The following is a 23002-nucleotide window of genomic DNA, read 5'->3' as shown; positions in this document are numbered from 1 at the left end:
TCTCTCTCTCTTCCCCCTTCCCTCTCTCTCTCACACACACACCATTGTTTTCACTACTGATAGTACTTTCTGATGACAGGATTTGCTTCTGGATGGTATCTTTGGAATGCATTATCTTGATGTTCTGTCTTATATGTTTAAAATACCATAACCGAACAACTCACTTCCCAGTGAGCATGGTGCCTCTCTTATTCTCGGCCGGTGCTCTCTCCACAGGAACTTGCCCAGCATTGCGAGGCATTGTGACCCCTGATGCTGGATTTTATCTCTTCATGGAGTATCTTCTGCTTCTAAGTTTCCCCAGCCTGGCCGGTATGGAGAAGGAGGGATCCTTTCCCTTGTGTTAAAGCTATTTATGGCTGGAGTGTAGGTAGGGTGCGGATAGAAGGGAATTCAAACTTGTTTTAATGATACCTGGGATTTGTTTTAATCGAGTATGACAAGACATGAGGCCAGTCCTTTATATAAAAATTAACTGGGTGTGGTGGCCCTCCCTCCATGGGGGCCCACCTGGGGAAGCACCGAGGCGAGATGAGTAGGTGGAGAGAGGGGGCTGCTGGTGGAAGCCTTAACTGTGCTGTCCTGGGAAGGAAAGGGTGAGCAGGTTTAGCACTTGCTGACTTGAATCATTTCAGCGGCCTCTGGGACTTAGGGGTTGTTCCTAGATATCTTGTCCCTGGTCTGGGGTGACCAGAGCAGGGGGACAGGAGACAGAGCGTAAGAGCCACATAGAGGAGGTGGTGGGAGTGGGCCCTGGATTGGTTTCTTTGCATTTGAAAGGCGCGCTCCTAGGTGAGCTATTTGCTTTCTCTAGGAGAGCAAACTCTGGGAGGGGCAGTGTCTCCAGGGTCAGCAAGGCCCTAAATGCTAAAGAATCAAGAACACAGAAAATAAGAAAATGTAATTAATACAAAGTCCAATACTGCACCTCAGTACTTTCACTCCAGTGGAGTAGATATGAGAATGCAGAAACCAACCAGAGGTAACCTGCTCAAATTACTTTTATTTATAGCACAATTACAACTAGGCCTTCCTATGGATACACACCTCTCTCTCTCTCTCTCTCTCTCACACACACACACACACACACACACACACACACACAGAGTTCTTTAAAAATATTTTTGTATATTTTTATTTTTATAGATTTAGGGGGTACAATTGCAGTTTTGTTACATGGGTATATTGTGTAGTGGTGAAGTCTGGGCTTTTAGTGTAAGTATCATCCAAATAGTGTATGTATGCATTAGGTAATTTCTAATGGATGTATACACTATTGGGATGATAGTTACACTATTTGGATGATAGTTACACTAAAATGGCTGAGCGTAACACCCATTGGAGACTTGGGAAAGTGGGTGGGTGGGAGCGGAGTGAGGGTTGAGAAATTACCTAATGGAGCACCAATGGCTAGTATTCCACAGTCAATGTCCATGTGTTCACATTATTTAGCTTCCACTTATAAGTGAAAATATGTGGTATATGACTTTCTGTTTCTGAGTTATTTCACTTAGTGGCCTCTAGTTCCATTCATGTTGCTGCAAAAGACATAATTTCATTCTTTTTCATGGCTGTTTAGTATGCTGTAGTATATATGTACCACATTTTCTTTATCCAATCATTGGCTGATGGACACTTAGGTTGTTTCCATATCTTTGCAATTGTGAATAGTGTTGCAATAATCATATGAGTGCAGGTCTGTTTTTGATATAATGATTTCTTTTTTGGGGGGCAGATACCCAGTGGTGGGATTGCTGAGTCAAATGGTAGTTCTATTTTAATTCTTTGAAAAATCTCCATAATGTTTTCCATAGAAATTACACTAATTTATAGTCCCATCAACAGCATTTAAGCATTCCATTTTCTTGACATCGACACCAACATCTGCTGTTTTTTTGACCTTTTAATAATAGCCAGCCATTCTGACCAGTGTAAGGTGGTGTCTCACTGTGATTTTAATTTGCATCTCTCTGATGATTAATGATGTTGAGCACTTTTCATGTGCTTGTTGGTCACACACAGAGTCCTATGGGAGAGGCATGGAAGGCCGTGGCCCTAACATCTAGGTATGAGTCTCCCTCGATGGGCCCTGAGGCACCCTCTGGGTGTAGAGACTTCCTCTCTTGATGACCGCGGGTACCATCATTGTCAAATGAATCCCATGCAAGAGCGAGTGTCTGAGTGAGGGCCTAGTGTCTGGCCAGAGACTGGATTCAGAGCATGAGGAGAAACCAGCATTGAATTATGCAAGTTCAGGAACACAGCGTCATTGAATTATGCAAGTTCAGTGTTTTTATACCATGTGAACCCAATGTTGATCCCAGATATAATTAGTGCATGTTGTGCGTGCTTATATGCATGTGATACTAGGTTTCCCATGTATGTAAGCTACGCACGCTATCATGTGGATCCTCATGAGATAGGGCAGCCCTCACCAGGTGTGACTGCTGTCGTGTACTGGCATGATAAAAAGCTGTGACCAGCCCTGGGAGTCAGAGATGTAACTCAAATGCATGTGCACTCTACACCTGGCTTTGTGTTTCCAAGTGCAGAGACTTCCACTCCAGGGACATTCCTTTCCCCTTCTGCTTCCCCTCCAGTGAAGGAGTGAGTTGCCCAATTGGCTGCTGACCTTCTTCCCCTACTGGGTGCAGCTAATCTATGAACAATCTGAAAGCACTGGAGGTTTGTTCCCTTCTCTCCTCCAGCAGTCCTGGCTGGGCACCCCAGCTGTGTGGCCCCCTGATTTCCTCCCAGGCCCCTGGGAGACATACATAGAACCACACCCTCACATCAACTCATCAGTAATGAAGGTGCCATTATGACCTCCATCTAGTGGGTGTCCAGTTGCCTCCTTTCTCAATGGTTACAAATGGCACTGGAGAAGAAAGTAATGCTGTTTGCTGTCTCCTGTCCTCCAGCATCACCAGCGCTTGTCCACACGTGTGGTAGGATGCAGAGTGCTCTGGGCAGGCCACTCAGAGGCCCAGGTCTGCTCCATGGTCCCAGGCGTTCCCTGGACCTGCTTGTGGTCTCCTCATTTGTTGAGTGGATGGCTTCGTCTGAAGGCATCTGTGACGATGTGTGGTTTCTGCCTGCACTTCTTACCCCAGTCATAGAGACACTTGGAGGCCTCTCCTTGTGCCTCGACTTTGCCTCCTTTGTGCTCCCGGGGGACTTCCTGAGCAGGGTAATTTTATGCATGAAGGCTGAGGGTTTCCACCCAGTGAGACTGGGGCCTGGCAATCATCTAAGCTCAAGATGAGGGAATGGGTTTCAGAAGGTCCCTTAACCACCTGAAATTGTGCGAGAAACGGTGTATATGAGGATTTCGGGTGTGTGAGAGAATGTTTTTGCAGGTCCTCTGAGGTTCCCTGGCTTCCCAAATGGGAGGAACTGCTGCTGTGGAGAAGGACTCCAGGATAGCGTGACCTGCAAGGGGAAATTGAGAAGCACAGGCAACTGAGATTGGCCATGTTACTGGGTGCCCTCCTGTCTCATCCAGTGACAAATGCAACCACAGCCTGAGGAAATTTAACACCATCTCATCATGATATGCAGTCATTCTCCATTTTCCACCTGTTTAGTTGGACTTTAAGGATAAAGAGAAGATCCTAAATAAGATAGCTGAGATTTCAGACCAAGATATCATGGTTGATTCTAATATCAAAACACAAAATGATTATATTCTCAAAAGGATTAAGAAAAACCTTTGATTTTTGGTGGCTCATGCCTGTAATCCCAGCACTTTGAGAGGCCAAGGTGGGTGGATTGCTTGAGGTCAGGAGTTCAAGACCAGCCTGGTCAACATGGTGAAACCCTGTCTCTACTAAAAATACAAAAAATTAGCTGGGCGTGGTGGTAGGTGCCTGTAATCCCAGCTACTCAGGAGGCTGAGGCACGAGAATCATTTGAACTTGGGAGGCGGAAGTTGTAGTGAGCCAAGATCACACCACTGCACTTCAGCCTAGGTGACAGAGCAACACTCTGTCTCAAAAAAAAAAAAAAAAAACATAAAAATAGAAATAAAAAATAATAATAATAAAAAGAAAAACCTTAGATTTTATTCTCATGTAGAGGTCTCTGTAGAGCAAATGCACCAGGTAGTTCTCTATCTAATTTTGGACTGTGTGGGCATACTCTACTTTTTATATTACTTGCCAAACTTCTTCTAGTTCAGAGACTCTAAAAGGATTGTCTTTTATGACAAGCCAGTTTAAAGCCTACAGTCAAACCTTTTTCTACTTCATTGAACTTTAGAAACTCCTATTGTTCTACACCTCTGTCTTATTTCTCTTGCCATTTCTGTTTATATTGATTGGTCTCAGGAGTGACCTATATGACACATTATCCAAAGCCTCTGTGTTCATGAACTATATAATTGTAAGAAAAACGGTTATCCTGTTTTTGAACTATATGGGCTTTCAACTTGACATCCACCCAATCAGTGAATTCAGATTCTATTCAGTCAGAGGAATAAATGATGTCAAGAAAAAATAAGTGGTTATAACTGAGCAAAATATTTTACTAGCAAAGAAAACAATCCTAATGGGGACATTTGCATGTTCAGTCAAGGTGTAATTAAATGCCTGCAGAAAAATAACTGAAAATCATACCTGTCTCAGTGCTTTTAGACAGGGTTATAATGTGCATTGATTTTGTTTCTTGATGATGAATTAGCCCTTGCATTTCTGAGAGTTGAATTTGTGAATGCAGAAACACCAACATGTTTGCTACTTAGTTGAGGACCAAGAAATTGTCTTCAGCTCTGCATCAGTTTTGGTAGAAGCAAAAATTGCAACAAAGAGATGAATAGAAAAGTTGTTTCAATAATCTAGACATTTATTTCTCCCTCACATAACAGCCCAGAGCTAACCAGATAGCTCAGGGTAGATTAAGTGGCATTGCTCTCTGAGGCCACCCTGTTACCAGGTTCCTTAGGTGGCTCTGCCATCCTCAACAAGTAGATATCTCAGGGTCCAAGCAGGCTTCTCTAGCAGTTGCCATTTTCCAGCCAGTGAAAAGTGGGAAAGAGAAAGTGGATGTAAGCAACTTCCTAGCGTGATGCAGAAGTTGCACATAACTTGCTGCCTGCCTTTATTAACTAAGTAGCAGTCATGTGGCCACACCCATGTGCAAGGAAGGCTGAGAAATGTCTGCATTTTATAGGTCAGGAAACCTATATATGATAAATCAATGGCTCTATATTATAGAATAGTAACATCCTATTTTATGACTCTTGGTCCAGAGTTCTTCCATCATACTACTCAACAGGCATTATTATGCTCTTTTAGAGAGCTATCTAAGGAGAACACAAACTCCTTAGATAATTTGTACATCCTTCAGGTGGCAGCTCATAAGAGGCCTTCTTTATGATGCCTTCCCTGACTACTGAAAGATTGCAGTGTTCCTAGGGCTCCCCCTGAAGCTGGTTTCCCACTAATGTCTCATGGTTGGGGTAAGCCAGAGACACATAGCATGGTGGTTCTCAAGCTTCCTGGTCTCCGATCCTTTTTACATTTTTAAAAACTGTTGAGGACACAAAGAGTGTGTGTTTATGTGGGTGATATCTATATTTTCCAAGTTAGGGAATAAACCCGAGAAGATTAAAAATATATATTTATTAAATCCATTTAAAAATGAGAATGACAATTATATGACATATACATAATACATTTTAATAAAAATACCTATAGGCCAGGTGTGGTTGCTCACGCCTGTAATCCCAGCACTTTGGGAGGCCGAGGTGGGTGGATCACCTGAGGTCAGGAGTTCGAGACCAGCCTGGCCAGCACGGCGAAACTCCGTCTCTACTAAAAATACAAAAATTAGCCAGGCACGATGGCGGGTGACTATAGTCCCAGCTACTCGGGAGGCTGAGGCAGGAGAATCGCTTGAACTTGGGAGGCAGCGGTTGCAGTGAGCCGAGATCGCATCACTGCACTCCAGCTTGGGCGACAGAGTAAGACTCTGTCTCAAGAAACAAAAACAAAAACAAAAACAAACCCTATAATTTCTCAAACAAAACAAAACCAAAAAAAAAAAAAGAAGGAAAAAGTGACATGTGTTACTTTTTTGTGGTTGTGTTACACTTTTGCTAATTAATGTCTGGCATAATAGGAAAGCAGTTGGATTCTCATATCTATTTCTGCATTTAGTCTGCTACAAATGTGTTGTTTTGATTGAAGTATATAAAGAAAACCCAGTCTCACACATATATGTAGTTAGAAAATGGATATATTAATATCAAAAGGCTTTTCAGAAAATTGTGGATATTTGTCTTTGATACTATACCAGATTGGACCAGTGACAGTTTCTTAAAGGCTAATTGCAGCGTGAAGTCTGAAACCCTGCCAATATCGTTTTATACTCCATAACATTCAAATCCAATGGGTTCTCTCACTTTGGATGGAGCTTTATAACCCATGTATGCTTCTGAACCTTCATGCATTGGTTATTTGGAAAACATTGGTTCACCAAGTTATGCAGATTTTCCAAATGTCAATGCATTTCATTACATGATATCAAAAAATTATATTTGTTAGAAGGACTACTGACTTTACCATGAAAGTCTTTATTTTGGAATGTTCTAAAATTTAAGTTTTGGCTTGAAAGATTGGATCTTATATCAGCAAGAAATACTGTCAGTTGTTTTCCTTGAAGTGACAAGCTCACTTGGTTCATCTTGGAAAAAATAAGACCCAATTCTGAATAGCAATAGGTGGTTTGCAATATTTCTTTAAGTAAAAATGGTGTCGTATGAAAGAAGTGGTTAGTACAGCTTGCGACTCAAATGATCACATGTATTTTTGTGTGGCACAACTGTTATACTTTCCCGTGCAGCTGAAGTGCTTCATACATACTTCCTATTTCATCACACAGAATATTACAAAGATGCATACTCAAAGGTAGAGACTTAAAGTTAATAATTGTTACAGCTTCATCAATAAAGTGAAGTGCTTATGTAAAACTGGCAATTTTTTTAAACTTCAGCTTTGAGCTCACTGACTTCTAGCACAGTTTGGTGTCATTGTCTGATTCCTGCTAAACACCAGCAATTTAACCCACCATTAGTGCAAATGGCCGAAGAAGAACGAGATCATGTCCTTTGCAGGAGCATGGTTGGAGCTGGAGCCCATTATCATTAGCAAACTAATGCAGAACAGAAAACCAGATACCCCATGTTCTCACTTATAAATGGGAGTTAAATGATGAGAACACATAGGCACAAAGACGGGAACAATAGACAATGGAGCCTTTCGAGGATAGAGGGTGGGAGGAGGGAGAGGATCAGGAAAAATAACTATTGGGTACTAGGCTTAGTACCTGGGTGATCAAATAATGTGTACAACAAACCCTGGTGACATGAGTTTACCCATGTAACAAACCTGCACATCTACCCCGGAAGCTAAACTAAAAGTGAAAAAAAAGGAAATAGTTTTGATCTTGCAAGACCTCTTAGAGGGTCTCAGCACCCTCTCAGTGCTTGTGGAGTGGCCTGAGTGTTTTGGCACCCTGGTCCTGGAAGAAGGGCTGGGGAGGAGAGAGCTGTGGAATGGTCAAGAGGAGAGCCATGAACCCCAACTGACCCAAGCACAGGTGCTGTCTTAGCCTGTGCAAGCTGCCGGAATACCATAGCCTGGGTGCCTTACACAGCCAGCATTTATTTTTCACAGGTCTGGAACCTGGGAAGTCCAAGATAGAGGCAGTGGGAGATTTGGGGTCTGGTGAGAACCTGCTTTCTGATCATAGATGGCCACTTTCCTGCTTTGTCCTCACATGGTAGAAAAGAAGAGGGTGTCTCTGGGGTCCCTTTTTTAAGGGCACTAATTCCATCCATGAGGGCTCCACCCTCAGGATCTAATCACTTTCCAAAGGCCCCGCCTTTTAATACTATCTCATGGGGGGTTAGGATTCTGACATTTGAATTTTGGTAGGACACAAGCATTCAGTCCATGCAGACACTGAATGCACAAGCAGGTGCTGTGGGCAGAGCTGGAGATGACAGCAGGGAGGAGCCTCTGATAAGCCAAGGGCAGCAGGCTCTGGTTGAAAAGAAGAGGGTATCAAAGACAGCAGAGCTTAGTGAGGAAGAGCTGGCTGAGAGCAGGCAGGACGGATTAGACAGCTGGCAAGTGACCGCCTCCCTGAGATGACTTCAGTTTGCAGGAGTGGCTGTAGGTGGTACCAGTGGTGAGTGGGTGCAAAGCTCTTATGTTCCTAATCCCGAAGCATGCTCAGTATTGTATTGTCCTTTTTCTGTGTGCACCTAGGCTCTCCCCTCTCGTGGGTAAGTGCTGGAGGGCAGGACCCATATCTACTTATAGCCTGGCCCAAAGTAGCTGCTTGATAGAAGTTTTCAGAATGAATAAAGATATAGACAACATTGTTTATTATAAACGATGATAAGTTCAGCTTAGCAGGACTGGCTATTAAAGAATAATGAAATAGAACAGGTTCAGGCAGAGAGGTGGGAAGAGAAAACTACATTGTGTTGGGCTAAAGGAGAAGCACAGTCTGCGTGGACAGCAGTCAAATCTGCAAGCAGTGAAATCTGACCCATTTCACTTATTACCATCCTTAGTGTTTCTCTCTTTCACCGACTCTGATCTTTTATTTTATTTCATTTTTGCTGGCCATGTTTTATTTGTTCTTTTTCTTCAAATAGGTTAACTGAAGATGCAGATAGTATGCAATAAAATAAAATAGATGAAACAAATTCTAAGAGACTGTGATGCCACATGCTACATTTAACCTAATTTTATTCATGCTTGCCTTGGGATGGGGAATAGATCATTCACTAAAAATATACATTACTAAAATCAAAATATCTTATCATGTACAACTTTTAAACTACAATAATGATATACCTTAATTACTTCCATGCACACAAGTCTAACATTAGTTTTTTTTTTTTAAATAAACACAATTAGGACTTCTAGGAGCATTTTATAATAAAGCATTTCCTAATTTTTCTTTGTAGATAGACCAAGCACCTACAAAATACAAATTCCTATACACAGTGAGCACGTTAGTTAAAATGAACACTTAAGTAAATTAAGTACTTGGACAGCCTTAGGATAAGCTGACATTATATACTAAGCTAGGTAGGCAACAAACCATAGTGTCAAATTGAAAAAGTGTGTTTGCAAATAAATTTTTAAAACCAAATTAATTTTTATAATTAAAGAAAATATACTGATACGCTAAAATCAATAAGATGTGATATAGTAACACTTCACTATAAAGAATGCATACCAGAGCGTTTATAAACAGTGAGTGAGTCTTATTAAGAATAGTTTACTACAATAAACACTGGCTAAATAGAAGTGCGTATTGTGAAGCACTGTGGGTGGTATATGTTTTGCTAATTACTCTTCTCACCTTGAGGTAGATAACACATGTGTATCAAATTTGGCATTCATTTTCAATTGCTGCTGGTATCATGTCTTTTAAGAAATGTGTACGGTATGAAAAACTTGAAAATACTCATGAGTGAAAAATGTTTTTGGAAAAAAATAGATATTTTCATGCAATTATGTAGAGTCTTACTGTGTAAATTTCAAGGCAAGGTTTGTTTCCTGTAAAACAGATCATCGTTCTATGAGGGAATGTTCTTTACTCGTCTTAGCGAATTTCATCTCCTCTTGTGTTGCATTATTTTGCTTTATTCTTTAATTTTGTGTGCAAACGACATGCCAGTTAAAATGAAAACCATCTCACATGTAGAAAAAAAGTCTGGATTTTAAAAACCAATAATAAAATAAACCAACTAATAAAACCCTTACTAAATGACACCATCTGATTAAAGTAAAAAGTGACTTAAACACTAGTAATAAAAAAAGGCAAAACACATTTCATGAAGAATTCAAAGATAAATGTCTGATGAATGTTTTAGCTCAGATGTTTCAGAATGCTGCTGTATGTTTGATGAGGAATTTGAGGGGAAGATTTCACAGCGGAAGGTGTTCCTGTGGCCTGTGTTGACTTAAGTGGTGACCCAACTGGACTGTGAAACTGCGGGATGCCTATGGACTCGAGCTGCTTGTTAGAGAGGAACTCCCCACTGTTGTTCAGAAATCCTTCCTCATTTCCTCTCTCCCCAAGCTTCCCATCCTCTACTGGCTCAGTTTCTAGCATTTCAGGATCTTCTTTCCTGCTAAAGAACTTGTCCAAGTAACTGGTCTAACAGTTTTCCTTCTCAACTTGTTCATCCTTCCTTACCTCACAACAAAACTGATTTATGAGAAAACAGTCCTCCCCACCACTCACAAACTGGCTGTCCCAAGATGATTGGTACGAGGCTTCTAATTGAGCCAGATTTGTCATTCCTTTTTCCTGTTTTTCTTGGCTTACTGACTTTGATATCAAACTTTTCAGTTCTAGTTGGGACACCGAGCTATTCAAGTCATTTAATTTATCAACAACATCAGTAGGCTCATTTTGGGAACTAAGTTGAATGGTTCCTGCAATAATGGAATCAAAGTCAAATCACTGATTCTTTTCTTTTTCTTTTCCAGCCAGTTGCTTTGATGCTTCCTCTAGTGCTATCTGGGCTTTAACCAATCCATTCCTTTCACATTCCGATTTGCCTTTCTTATCAGATTTTTTCTTTGCTTTGTTCTTTCCAGTTGGAAAGATCTATAATAAGCCTGGCTTCATAGTAATGGTTAACTTCACTCTCTCCAAACTAAGTTATCTAAATATGATGATGACCTCATTTTGTAGTTACAAACATGGCTACACTCCAGATGACAGTATTTGTTTTCATGATGATCTGGCTCACAAGGCTCAGTAGAATAATTGATATCAAAAGCAGGATCCTCCAGATACTTTTCCCGATCTCCATTCAAATATTTTCAGGGATCAAATTGTACTTCTTCATCAGTGACATAAAACAGAGATCTTGGATCAAGCTGAACTTAATCAATATCAAAGTTGTTATGTATAGGCCAATCATGTTCTGAAAACTGACAATTACGGTACCTTTCCCAGTTATAAATGTGACTGTGAGTTTCATCCATAAGTAAAACATCATCAACTTTATCTTCAACATGAAAGGGATGACTTGAAATTAGCTCATCCATTGGAAAAGAACATATGCTCATTTTCGGGGGAACCAGCCCCCAGTATTTCAACGTACGTTCTTTTCTATTTTCCCTAAGTGTCGGCTGGTCTGAGAAATAAAGAGAAAGAGTACAAAAGAGAGAAATTTTACAGCTGGGCCTCCAGGGGTGACATCACCTATTGGTAGGTTCTGTGATGCCCCTTGAGCCACAAAACCAGCAAGTTTTTATTAGGGATTTCAAAAGGGGAGGGGGGTACAAACAGGGAGTAAGTCACAAAGATCACATGCTTCAGAGGGCAATAAAAGATCACAAGGGCAGAGAGGCAGAGCAAGATCACAAGGCCAGGGCAAAATTAGAATTACTGATGAGGTTCCATGTCCAGCTGGACATGCATTGTCATTGACAAACATCTTAACAGGAAACAAGGTTCGAGAGCAGACAACTGGTCTGACTAGAATTTGCCAGGCTGGAATTTCCTAATCCTAGCAAGCCTGAGGGCACTGCAGGAGACCAGGGCATATTTCATCCTTTATCTTCAACCGCATAAGGCAGACACTTCCAGAGCGGCCGTCCATAGACCTCCCCTGGGAATGCATTCCTTCCCCAGGGTTATTCCTTGCTGGGAAAAGAATTCAGCGATATTTCTCCTATTCGCTTTCTGCAAGAAGAGAAATATGACTGTTCTGCCCAGCCCCACAGGCAGTCAGACCTTATGGTTATCTCCCTTATTCCCTGAAAATTGCTGTTATCCTGTTCTTTTTTAGGATGCCCAGATTTCATATTTTTCAAACACACATGTTTTACAAACAATTTGTGCAGTTAACACAATCATCACAGGGTCCTGAGGTGACATACATCCTCAGCTTACGAAGATGATGGGATTAAGAGATTAAAGTAAAGACAGGCATAGGAAATTATAAGAGTATTGATTGAGGAAGTGATAAATGTCCATGAAATCTTCACAATTTATGTTCAGAGATTGCAGTAGAGACAGGCGTAAGAAATTATAAAAATACTAATTTGGGGAACTAATAAACGTCCATGAAATCTTCACAATTTATATTCTTCTGCCAGGGCTCCAGCTGGTCCCTCCATTCGGGGTCCCTGACTTCCCACAACAGCTCATGTAAGGACAGGAGAGCGCTTCTGCTGTTAACTGACCCATGGGGCTAAATGTCAAAATTTGTTTCAGGAAGCCCAGTGCTTCTCAACTAATTCCTGGAAGCAGCTGAGTTAAAGGTTTGTTTGGCTCAGTCTTGTCTTTTCTAATGTAAACTGGAGTTATGCTGAGAAGCTCCTGACAATCTTTCTCATGTACAACAGGACTAGATTCTAAAATCAGCTGCATCTGTTCAAGTTCATGTGCACCTGCAAAAAGGATTTTACCAGTCAGCATTTCGAAAAGATGCAGCCTGCAGCCCACATGTCAATGGCTTTAGTATAATTATTATGAGAAAGTAAATGATGTGGAGATCTGTATCATTTAGTAATCAATCCTTCAGAAAGATGATGCTTATGGGAATAATGAGGATCCATGATCCGTGCAAGACTAAAGTCACCTATCTTCAGCACCAAGTTTTCAGTATTAATGAAAAGAATAGCTGGTTTGGGATCTCTGTGCAGTACATTTGCAGAGTGAATATACTTGAGCCCCAGTATCAGCTGATACATGAAAAGCCTGGCACACTCTTCCAGTAAAGGGCCCTGCTCCAGCACATTAGCCAAGTCTGTCTCCATGTACTCCTGAGCAATGTAAACACTGTTCAGCTCTGTAAGAGAGCCCACATTGTATGTTAATTAGCTTCCACTGGGACCAAGAATTTCAGACACTTTCACAGTGTTATTATGGTCAAGTCTTCTAATAATTTTGATATCATGTAGAGCATGTTGACACTCTGGGGATCAGTAAGGACAATTTTCTTGATGGCCACTCTTTTGTCACAGTCATTGTCTACAGCAGAAAAAACCAAGCCATTGCCTCTACAACTCAATGGTTTTAAGTCTATATACCTAGAGCCCAGATCAAAACCATGAATGTTCATGAAACTTTGAAATTTCTCTGCCATTTTGAAACCCTTACTATTGCCTTTTCTTTTCAAAATGTTGAACTTGTGTAAACAAGGAAGAAAACTGGCATGAAAAGGAAATATTTTTCAAAAAGGGAGAAGAAAAATAATTATGCTTCCACAGCAAGATGGTTTCTTGATGTTCACTGCATATGCCAAACAGGCCTGTTGAGTTCCCCTTAGACTGAAATCAAAAAGCTCTACTCATATTGAGAATTAAAAAGATTGCAGTACTCATAGTTCAAGAAAGGGGCAGCAACTCTACAGACATTTAAAGAAAACACTCAAGAAATTCAAATGGAATGAAATGACATACTATGCACTCATATTACTGTGCTAAACGATTTAACATTTAACAAACATGTGAATAAATATGCACACAACAGGCTTCTATGAACATTCTCCTTACAGTGCAGATCCATTCAGTGTTGGACTAGTCCTGAGCAGTGTTGTTCTAAGGAGCCGGTAGGCACCATTTCCGTTTTGCTTCTTTGCTTTCTTTGTTGCTGTATATTTCAACAGGAAGCCCTGGCGGCTGTTGCTTAACAGAAGATGTCTTTTGTTAGTGATCAGGAGGCTCCAGCTCAGCACACTCACAATCAAAGCTACTGTCCATCTTACTCTGATACAATGGGACTTCTCCGACTCCTCGAGAGAATGCGGGGCTGGCGGACAGCCCCCAGTGTCGGCTCAGGTCTCCAGGCTCTCACTTTGCCACAGTCGCTGCCGTATAACCGCGACCCAACTCTGGTCTTTTTTAAATGTGTGTTCTTTGGTGGGCAGGGGAGGATTGCGTGGGGTGGAAGTAGACTCTCTGTATCTGTGGGGAGCTTTGGTTGATGCTTCCAGAACCAAACCAGGCTAGAAGACTTTATGTTTGTGCTGCAGGTGGAAATTGGAAACCAGGAAATTGCATCAGCTAAATTTGATAGTGGAATGGCACTGCTTCCATAAGGGAAAGTCTGTCTTGTAGATTTAATCTCACAATCCATCATTAGTCAAGGTGATACTGATGGATCATTTCTAATATATATGCTGGTCTTTGCACGTATTGTCTCATGAACACACACAATAACCTTATAAGATTATTTTATGGATACGAATACAGGCTCAGAGATGTTAGGAAACTTGTTCAAGGTCAAAGAGTGTGGAAAATTCAAGCCCAAGTTGTTCTAAAGGTGGTTGTTTTGGGAAGGAGGGTGGGATGTGCTTTCACTTGAAATACTAACTTTGACTCTAAAGGGCAACAGTTGAATTTAATTGCTGGGAAATCTAAGGATTTCTCTCCGTAAATAATACTAGGGCTCACTTCACTAGTAGAGAGGGAATAAATTCTCTACCTTTTAGAGGTGGATGATTAGCCTCAGGGTATTGGGCTGCTCTTTAGCTAATTAGTTTGCTGATGTATTAAATGGCTATTGATTCTAAAAGGTGAGCAGTTCATTTCCTACAGACCAATCAGGTCAAACATAATTTCTGTAATAATAATAATTAGGAAATGTACATTCATGCTAGAAAGGGAGCTTGTCACGAGTGTAATCTGAAGCTGCAGGAGGGTGAAGAAGTACAAGAGGTAAATCATCAACAAGAATGAACTGAACATGAATCCTTAATGGAAACCTAGCTACCCATTAAACAGCAGAGGTAATTGAGCTGTTTAATGGATATTTTAATTTTTACAGGCTATGAGATTGTAGTTTGAAAAATTATCTTTTGAAATAATAATGTGCACATAATTGATATACTGAGTTACCATAGAAATCACCTTCAGTACTATTAACACTGCTAATCATGTTGCCTCACTTTTAATGTGTTTCATAAGTCTAAATGCTTCCTAGCAGCTACATAAATCTATCTTACTTTATAGTTTAAGACTACTCTTTTTTCTGATTCTTTGATAAATTTAAGTCTCTGAAAGACATCCAGCTTATAAATTTAAACAAACATAAAACAAAACTCATATTTTCTGGTAGCAAATATCGGTTTAGAATTCTATTACTTGGGTTCCATTTTTCATATTTTTTTCTGTCACCTTATATCTGTAGAGTCTGCTTGAAGTCATTACTCCATTTGTCCATGCATTCATCTATCCATCCATGATCCATCATCCATCCATCCATCCATCCATCCATCCATCCATGCATCAACCCATCCATCCATGCATCCATTCATGAGCCACCATCCATCCATCCAACCATCCATCCATGCATCCATCCATGCATTTATCCTTCTAGCCATCTTTTAACTCATCACATAAATTAAGCACGAATTACATGCAAGTATTTGTGCTATACAGGCACTCTGGAGCTTATAAAAATAAATTACACAATATGCCTCCTATTATCAAGTTTGCAATCTAGCAAGAAAAACTAGACTCAAATGTACATTGTGTATATAAGAAAGTTTTTGGTAAATACCAGAAGAGTATGCATGTAAAAATGTTATTGGAGAAAGAAATCTCTTCTGGATAGAGGCTGATATTTCTTCTTAGTTATTTCATATACAATAGGCAACACAAATTGTACATTTTTCAAACTAAATTCACTAATTCTTCCTTCACCTACCACTAAATTTTCCCATCATCTGCATTCCCCATACTCAGTGGTTTCACTTGCTACCCACTTAAATTAGAAACTAGAAATAATAGAGTCATCTTTGATTCAGATTCCTACTGTACCTGAATTAATCGCCAAATGTCAAATATTTTGCTTTCTAAAATTTTCTCGGATCTATTTTGTTCTCGCCATACTTGGCACAACTATCTTGATAGAAACCTTCATGAGTTTACCCATTAGATTATTGCAATAGTTTATCAACTAGTTTTTCTGCCTCTTGTGCCTTGCAAAATCTCCTTTCACATAACAGCTGGTGTGATATATTTAGACAAAATCTGAAGTCCCTTGATCAAAAGTCTTCAATGGCTTCTGATAGCCGGCAACTTCCCTGCTATGTTGTGTACAAAGCCAACCTCGACCTGTCCTCTTTATTTCTCTAGCCTCGTCTTCTTACTTAAGATCTAGGATTTAGGATCTCTGAACTATGTTTTTTTTTTCTTTTTGTAAATTATTTTAGTGCTTCCATGATGATTTAGAGGGACTATCTTCAAATCAATACAAATATTTCATAATTAATATCTGGCTGTTTTCTAATCAATTGAGTAATTTGTTGCACAGTAAGCCACCTCACATCTTTCAGCAAGAAATACATTAAATTTGAATAGTAAATTACAGAATGAATTAGGACAAAATTCAAATTTGCTTTAAATATTTCTTTGGAGGAGGAGACGCCACACTTCTACTCAATGAAGAGAAACATTTTTACAGTCCAGAAGTCTTTTATTTCATTTAAACAGTTAATATGCCATGAATCCATAGGGAATAGCTTCCTCAGCTCAGGCTCCTTCCCACTGGTTCTCACACAGTGCGTGTCTCTGGGTGGAGCAGGATGGCGCTTCAGTTGAACCCAGGTACCTTTCTCTTTGGCTTCTTTCTTTTTCTGATCATGTTCCTTCAGGCGTTTCAGGAAGCTATCTCGGCTCTTAGAGTGCTTAATGTGCTCAATACGCACATTAATTCTCTTGGCAAGAATCTTTCCCTTAACTTGTTTGTTACAACAATGCCAACAGCATGCTGGGCAACACTGCAGACTCTTCGTTTTGCCATGGTAACACTTGTGGGGCATTCCTTTTTGAACAGTACCCCTTCCCTTGATATCTATAATACCACCTCTCTTACAGATTTGCATAAACATGGCCAAAGGAACAACTCCATGTTTTTTTTTGTTGTTGTTTGTATTTTTGAGAAGGAGTCTCACTCTGTCACCCAGGCTCGAGTGCAGTGGCATGATCTCGGCTCACTGCAACCTACACCTCCTGGGTTCAAGCAATTCTCTTGCCTCAGCCTCCTGAGTAGCTGGGACTACAGGCGCACGCTGCCAAGCCTGGCTAATTTTTTGTATTTTAGTACAGATGGGGTTTCACCGTGTTGCCCAGGCTGGTCATGAACTCCTGAGCTCAGGCAATCCTCCTGCCTCGGCCTCTCAAAGTGCTGGGATTACAGGCGTGAGCCCCTGTGCCCAGCCAACTCCATGTCTTCTAAAAGGCCTAGAGAACACGGGTCAGGTGTCTCTCCTCTTTCCCTTTGTGTTCGTCATTTTGGTAAATTACTGGAAGATGGTGGTTCCAGCTGAAAGGCCAGTTTTTGCTTTTAATTAGACAAAGTCTTGCTTTTTCACCCAGGCTGGAGTGTAGTGGTGCCATCGCGGCTCAGTGCGGCCTCGAACTGCTGGACTGAAGTGATCTTCCCACCTCGGCCTCCTGAGTAGCTGGGACCACAGGCATGTACCACCACACACAGTGAATTTTGGAAGTTTTTGGAGAGTAGGGGGTCTCACTGTGTTGCCCAGGCTGGTCTTGAACTCCTGGCCTCAAGCAATCCTCTTGCTTCAGCCTCCCAAAGTGCTGAGATGACAGGTGTGAGCCACCATACCTGGCCTAGTTCTGTTTATACAACTGCTATTTCTAGATTCTCTGCCTTGTACATCATTCTCAAATACATTTCTGCAATGGTTTCACCTATCTGATTCCCATGTATCCTTCGAGTCTCAACTCAAAAGTCAATGTTCTGTAAGAAGCCTTTCCTAATCAGAACCGAGGGAGTAGGAGCCCTGCCTCTGTGCTTCTGTTTTATCCCATGTATCCCTATTATGCCCTCAAAAAAGATAAAGACTTCGCTCAGAAACATCTGGGCAAACACGGCAGAATGAAAATGGATCATAGAATCTCTGTCACTTAGTACCTGGTAAAATGGTCAAAAATTGTAAAATAAACCCCAAAGGCTCAGACTCCCTAAACTCTCTTCCTTCCTGCCCCCAAATTTACCACCACAAGTCAAACAATGAACAAAATCTAACACTACTGACTTCAGAAAGTGATGAACAGGGGAAGGAAGAAGGTCCTTCCAAGGGAGGGTCACTTAAGTCCAGCAGTTCCAGGCTGCAGTGAGCTGTGACAGCACCACCGCTCTCCAGCCTGGGTGAAAGAGTGAGACCTTGTCTAATTAAAAACAAAAACAAAAACAAAAAACCCCACAACAACTGTAGTTATTCCAGAGATCCCAAAGCCGAGCACTTGAGTAAGGAGATAAGGCTAGAGAGATACAGAGGACGGGTCGAGGTTGGCCTTGCACACACCACACTAGGGAAGGTGCCGGCTATAGGAGACCATTGAAGGCTTTTCATCAAGGGACTCCAGATTTTATTTAAATAGATTACACCAGCTGTTGCGTGAAAGACAGATTTGCAAGACACAAGAGGCAGAAAAACAGTTGCAATAATCAAATGGTAACTCATGAAGGTTTCTACTAACATAGTTGTACCAAGCATGGAGAGAAAGGGATAAATCTGAGAAAATTTTAGAAAGTAAAATATTTGGCACTTGGTGATTAATTCAGGAAGGTGTAGTAGAAATCTGAATCAAGGATTATTCTATTGTTTCTAGTTTCTACTTTAAGTGGGGAGCACGTGAAACCACTGAGTATAGGGAATGCAGATGATGAGAAAGTTTAGTGGCAGGTGGAGGAAGAATTAGTGAAGTTAGTCTGAAAAATGACGGAGTAGAGGGCATTGCTACTACCTCCGTCCTGGGGAGCTGCTTCCTAGGAGTATCTTGACTAAGATCCAGGAGCAGGCTGGCTGATGGGGGGATGAGGCTTCCTGCACTGACTGTGGCTAGTGAAAGAGAAACATGAAACCTGGGACCCAGTCTAGGATAATATCTGAGAGCACAGATTTTGAAGTCAGACAGCTTCTACCTCTAGTTATGTGATTTTGGGCATAACCTAACTTCTAACTTAACTTCTCAGTGACTCAGCTTCCTCATCTGTAAAATGGGGATGAAAACAGCTCCCACCTCAAAGTGAAGCTGTAATGGTTAAAATTGGTTAATATATTTAAAGTAATTAAGACAGCATGTGCATGTAGTACCCCAAGGTGAGGGTCAGCTACTCCCATCTCAGACTCAGGATAAAAGTGAACTACATGCGCATTATTGTTTTTGCTCTCTTCTGTTTGGTGGGCAGCAGAAATGTTGGAGAAATGGGAGAAGCACATTCTCAGGCCCTTCCCTGAGTTAGGGGAATGATCCACCATCTGCAGTTATCCTCTGAAGAGAGAGTGGAGCCCAGGCGTCCTCACAGAGCCTGCGCTGGGCCTCTGCTGGGCTTCTCCATCTGCTCTCCTGTGCCTTCAGGTTAGAGGAAAGTGTGTACAGCTAGATCTTCCTAGGCTTCAAACTATAGTGCTGAGGGGGATAACAAAGAGATGCCTCCCACACTGTGTATCAGCAAGCAGAGTCTGGTCATGAGCACCCTGCCCAGGAGGAGCACCAAGAGACAAGTTCTGAATGTGAAGAAAAATGCACCAGGACAGTGAGGGGTCAGCCTATCATCTGGAAAATCCAAAAACAGGGGACATTCCACTCTAGTAATTTACACTATAGAAAACCCTGGAAAGCTTACATTCAATAAGGTAAGGCCTTAAAGAAAAGCTGATAAGGGCTGGGCGCTGTGGCTTATGCCTGTAACTCCAGCCCTTTGAAAGGCCGAGGCGGGCAGATCATGAGGTCAAGAGATCAAGACCATCCTGGCCAACATGGTGAAACCCCGTCTCTACTAAAAATACAAAAATTAGCCGGGCGTGGTGGCATGCGCATGTAGTCCCAGCTACTCGGGAGGCTGAGGCAGGAGAATTGCTTGGACCTGAGAGGTGGAGGTTGCAGCAGTGAGCGGAGATCACGCCACTGCACCCCAGCCTGGGCGACAGAGTGAGACTCTGTCTCAAAAAAAAAAAAAAAGAAAAAAAAAAGCTGATAAAACTGGGATGAATATAACAGAACTAAAGGAACAGGTTAAGAACCCAAACAACATCATCCCAGAACTATTACCTATACTGAGAAGAACTAAGAGGAAAATAGGCACAGCTGAACACAAAATGATAAATAACTGGCTTGAGCTAATCAACAGGAATCCAAAGAAAACTGAAAAAGATGAATTCATTGAGAGCAAAAAGTAATTGATAGAGAAGACAAAATAATCCAGCTAAAACAGTGCTGGGAGGACAGAGTTCACCAAATGGGACAGAAAAATAATCATGTGAGTATAAAATAAAACAAAAATCTCCTTAATGAAGAGCCAGGTGCGTGGGTTAAAGATCACGCTGTGCTCAAGGGAAAGCAGATAAAGAACTGCTGACCCTGAACTCAATCCTCACGAAGTCATTAACCTCGCTGAAAACAAGGGCAGTCTTCAGGCATCCAGGCAGATGCAGCAGCACCTACCCCGGAGCTGGCCTCATACACCCCCGCTGCCAGGCTCAAAGTAAGAACACAGTGTCCACATGTTTCCATGGTAATGAAGCTGTGACCAAAATATACACCCATCAGAATTGACATTTCACCCTGGTACTCCGGGGCAGCTTAACCAGTTCTCCGCCGCGCAGTCGCGGTCAGGATGGGATTGGACATGTGGATGGAACTGCGGCGGGAAGCTTGTTTCCTTTGTGGTACTGCAAGTCTGGTCTCGCCCTCACCGACGTGCTCCACCGCCCTGGCTTCCTTACCATGCCGTGGGCACTGTGAGCTCCTGCCCACGTTGAGGTTTGACACTTGATGTTTCCTGGAGTGTCCTTCTCCTGCCTCTGGCCTCGTCCAACCCCGAAAGCGGACCTCTTCTATCACCTCATCACACAGCCTGACCTGTCATCTGCTGTGTCCCCTCCTCCCCTCCCCACCTGCAGCTTTTGTTCATTTCCTTTATGGCCCTCACTTTTTACTGTCTGCCTCTCATGGAATGAAGCCCATAAGCTCAGGGGCCTCACTTTCTGTATCCTTAGTGCTTAGAGCAGGGCTTGGCATCCATTAGCTGCTCAATAATCATTCGCTGGAGAAGAGAAGGAAGGAAAAGATGGAGTGAGGAAAGATGAAAGGAGGGCTTGGGCTGAGCCTTTATAGGTGGATTGAATGTTGGATGGATTCAGAGGATTCCAGGTGTATGGGGTGTTGACTAGAAAGAGAAGAGGAGAAATAGGCATCTGAAAACCAGATCCAAGTCTCATGAAGAAAACAGCTCATCAAATATTGCCCTTTACTTGGGCTTTGAATTAAATGTTAACTTTTTATTCCACTACCTTTGAGATTATGATAAATTATAAAATACTGTTTATAGCTATTTTATTTTAGTTTTTAAGAGATGGGGTCATGCTTTGTCACCCAGGCTGGAGTGCAGTGGCACCATCAGATCATCCCTCACTGCAACCTTGAACTCCTGGACCTAAGTGATCCTTTGGCCTCTCTCCTGAGTAGCTGGACCACAGGCATGAGACACCATGCCTGGATAATTGCAGCTCTTTATCCTATCAGTACTCAGAGCTCTAAGTAGCTGTATAACAGGGACTCTCATGAATTGGGCATCAGCCACAGAACACTATAGAGCAGGTTATTTTCTGGGTGGCTTGGGGCCGATGAAATAAATCCTGGGATAAATTATGACATGGAGATTTGAATGCTTGAACTATAGATTTTGTCCAGAAAAGGCTTCTTGCTAGCTACTGGGATTTTAAAAAATCAGTGTTTTCTGTTATGTGATTATTATCTTAGAAATATACAGTTGCTTCTTCTTATTAGTGGCAGTTGTATTCTATAATGTCGCTGTGAACTCTGAATTAGTAAATTCAGAAGCATTGCTCCCAGGAAAAATACAGGGTTAGGTCACTGCAAGCCACTAGTCAAAACATTTTTGTCCACTGATCAATACATGAGCTTGTTTTTTGTGTGTTTCTATTTAAAGACACCTTGCTTAATACATATCATTGATTCATTAACATTGAACTCATGGACAACAGCACTGTAACTCGTGTCTGAAGGAAGCTTATCTAATGCATGTATTTTTCCCCTTGAATAACATCACAGCCTTCTTGCACTTAGGAACCATAGACAGCACCATAGTTAGGGTGTTATTTTAAACAGCAGAATCATCAACAAAAAGCCCCCCAAAATGCAAAAAACATGGCACCAAATGGAATGTGGGGAGGATACTTGTTTGCAGTGTGAGAGCTGAAACAAGAAGGCAGAGGGTTTGACTTCAGCTGGGAGTGTGCATTGGGTTTCTCAAATTTTTTGCCTCTCTATCCATGTCTGCAAGGACTGTACAAACACTGTGAATATTGACTTTGGAGTGACAAATACATTTTAGTAAGCAGATGAATTCACAAACCTTGAATCAGCGAATAGCAAAGATGGAGTGTATTTTCTAATTTCTTAAGATGTGAGTCTGAGTTTGGTAAATGTTAGTAAAGATAGGTAGTCCAAAGTCACCCAAATCGCATTAGAGCTCTGTTGCTGCTATCACAAGACCTTGATTGCGGTTTAGATTTTTTAAAAGTTTTGAAGCATTTTCAGCTCATGGTGAATATATGTATTGATTCATTATTGAACAAATATTTGTAAGAATACATGTTTTCTACTATTCTGGAGGCTTTATAAAAACATAAAACTTTTATAATAACATATAGTCTCTTTGTGATTTACAGATTTTTAACTACTTTCATGAGCACATCTCCTTTAATTCCCCTCACCCCTTGAAAGGTGCTTGGGAACCCAGCATTAGTGGAAAGTCTGAGAATGGGGACAGCTCTCTAGATTCTGGGGGTAAAATGTAAGGGGGGTCCTGGCCTAGAGAAACTTGTCTTGCTAGGAGCTAGAGTATATTATGAGGCCAGCACCAGAAGCCAAGTTTTATTTTAATGACCACATCACGTGGGCCCCTTAACCAGTCACCAGTGGTGTGATCCTAGAGCCTTCATGTGGGCCAGTCG

The 23002-nt window shown here is 41.5% G+C and overlaps 2 pseudogenes, besides 1 other annotated feature; both read right to left on the bottom strand.

Annotated features, from left to right (window-relative positions):
• Window positions 505-1006: an enhancer, noted in NCBI's record as "NANOG hESC enhancer chr8:54461749-54462250 (GRCh37/hg19 assembly coordinates)". NCBI's record gives its function as "activates a minimal SCP1, AML or CMV promoter by ChIP-STARR-seq in naive H9 embryonic stem cells {active_cell/tissue: H9 hESC(naive)}" and the evidence as "EXISTENCE:reporter gene assay evidence [ECO:0000049][PMID:30033119]".
• Window positions 8629-13878, bottom strand: MAPK6P1 (mitogen-activated protein kinase 6 pseudogene 1; annotated as a pseudogene).
• RPL21P79 (ribosomal protein L21 pseudogene 79) lies at window positions 16457-16910 on the bottom strand (annotated as a pseudogene).

This window comes from Homo sapiens, chromosome 8 (assembly GCF_000001405.40).
Source record: "Homo sapiens chromosome 8, GRCh38.p14 Primary Assembly".
NCBI classification, from domain to species: Eukaryota; Metazoa; Chordata; class Mammalia; order Primates; family Hominidae; genus Homo; species Homo sapiens.
The sequence above is the reverse complement of the archived record's forward strand: the minus strand, read 5'-3'. Positions and strand labels throughout refer to the sequence as shown.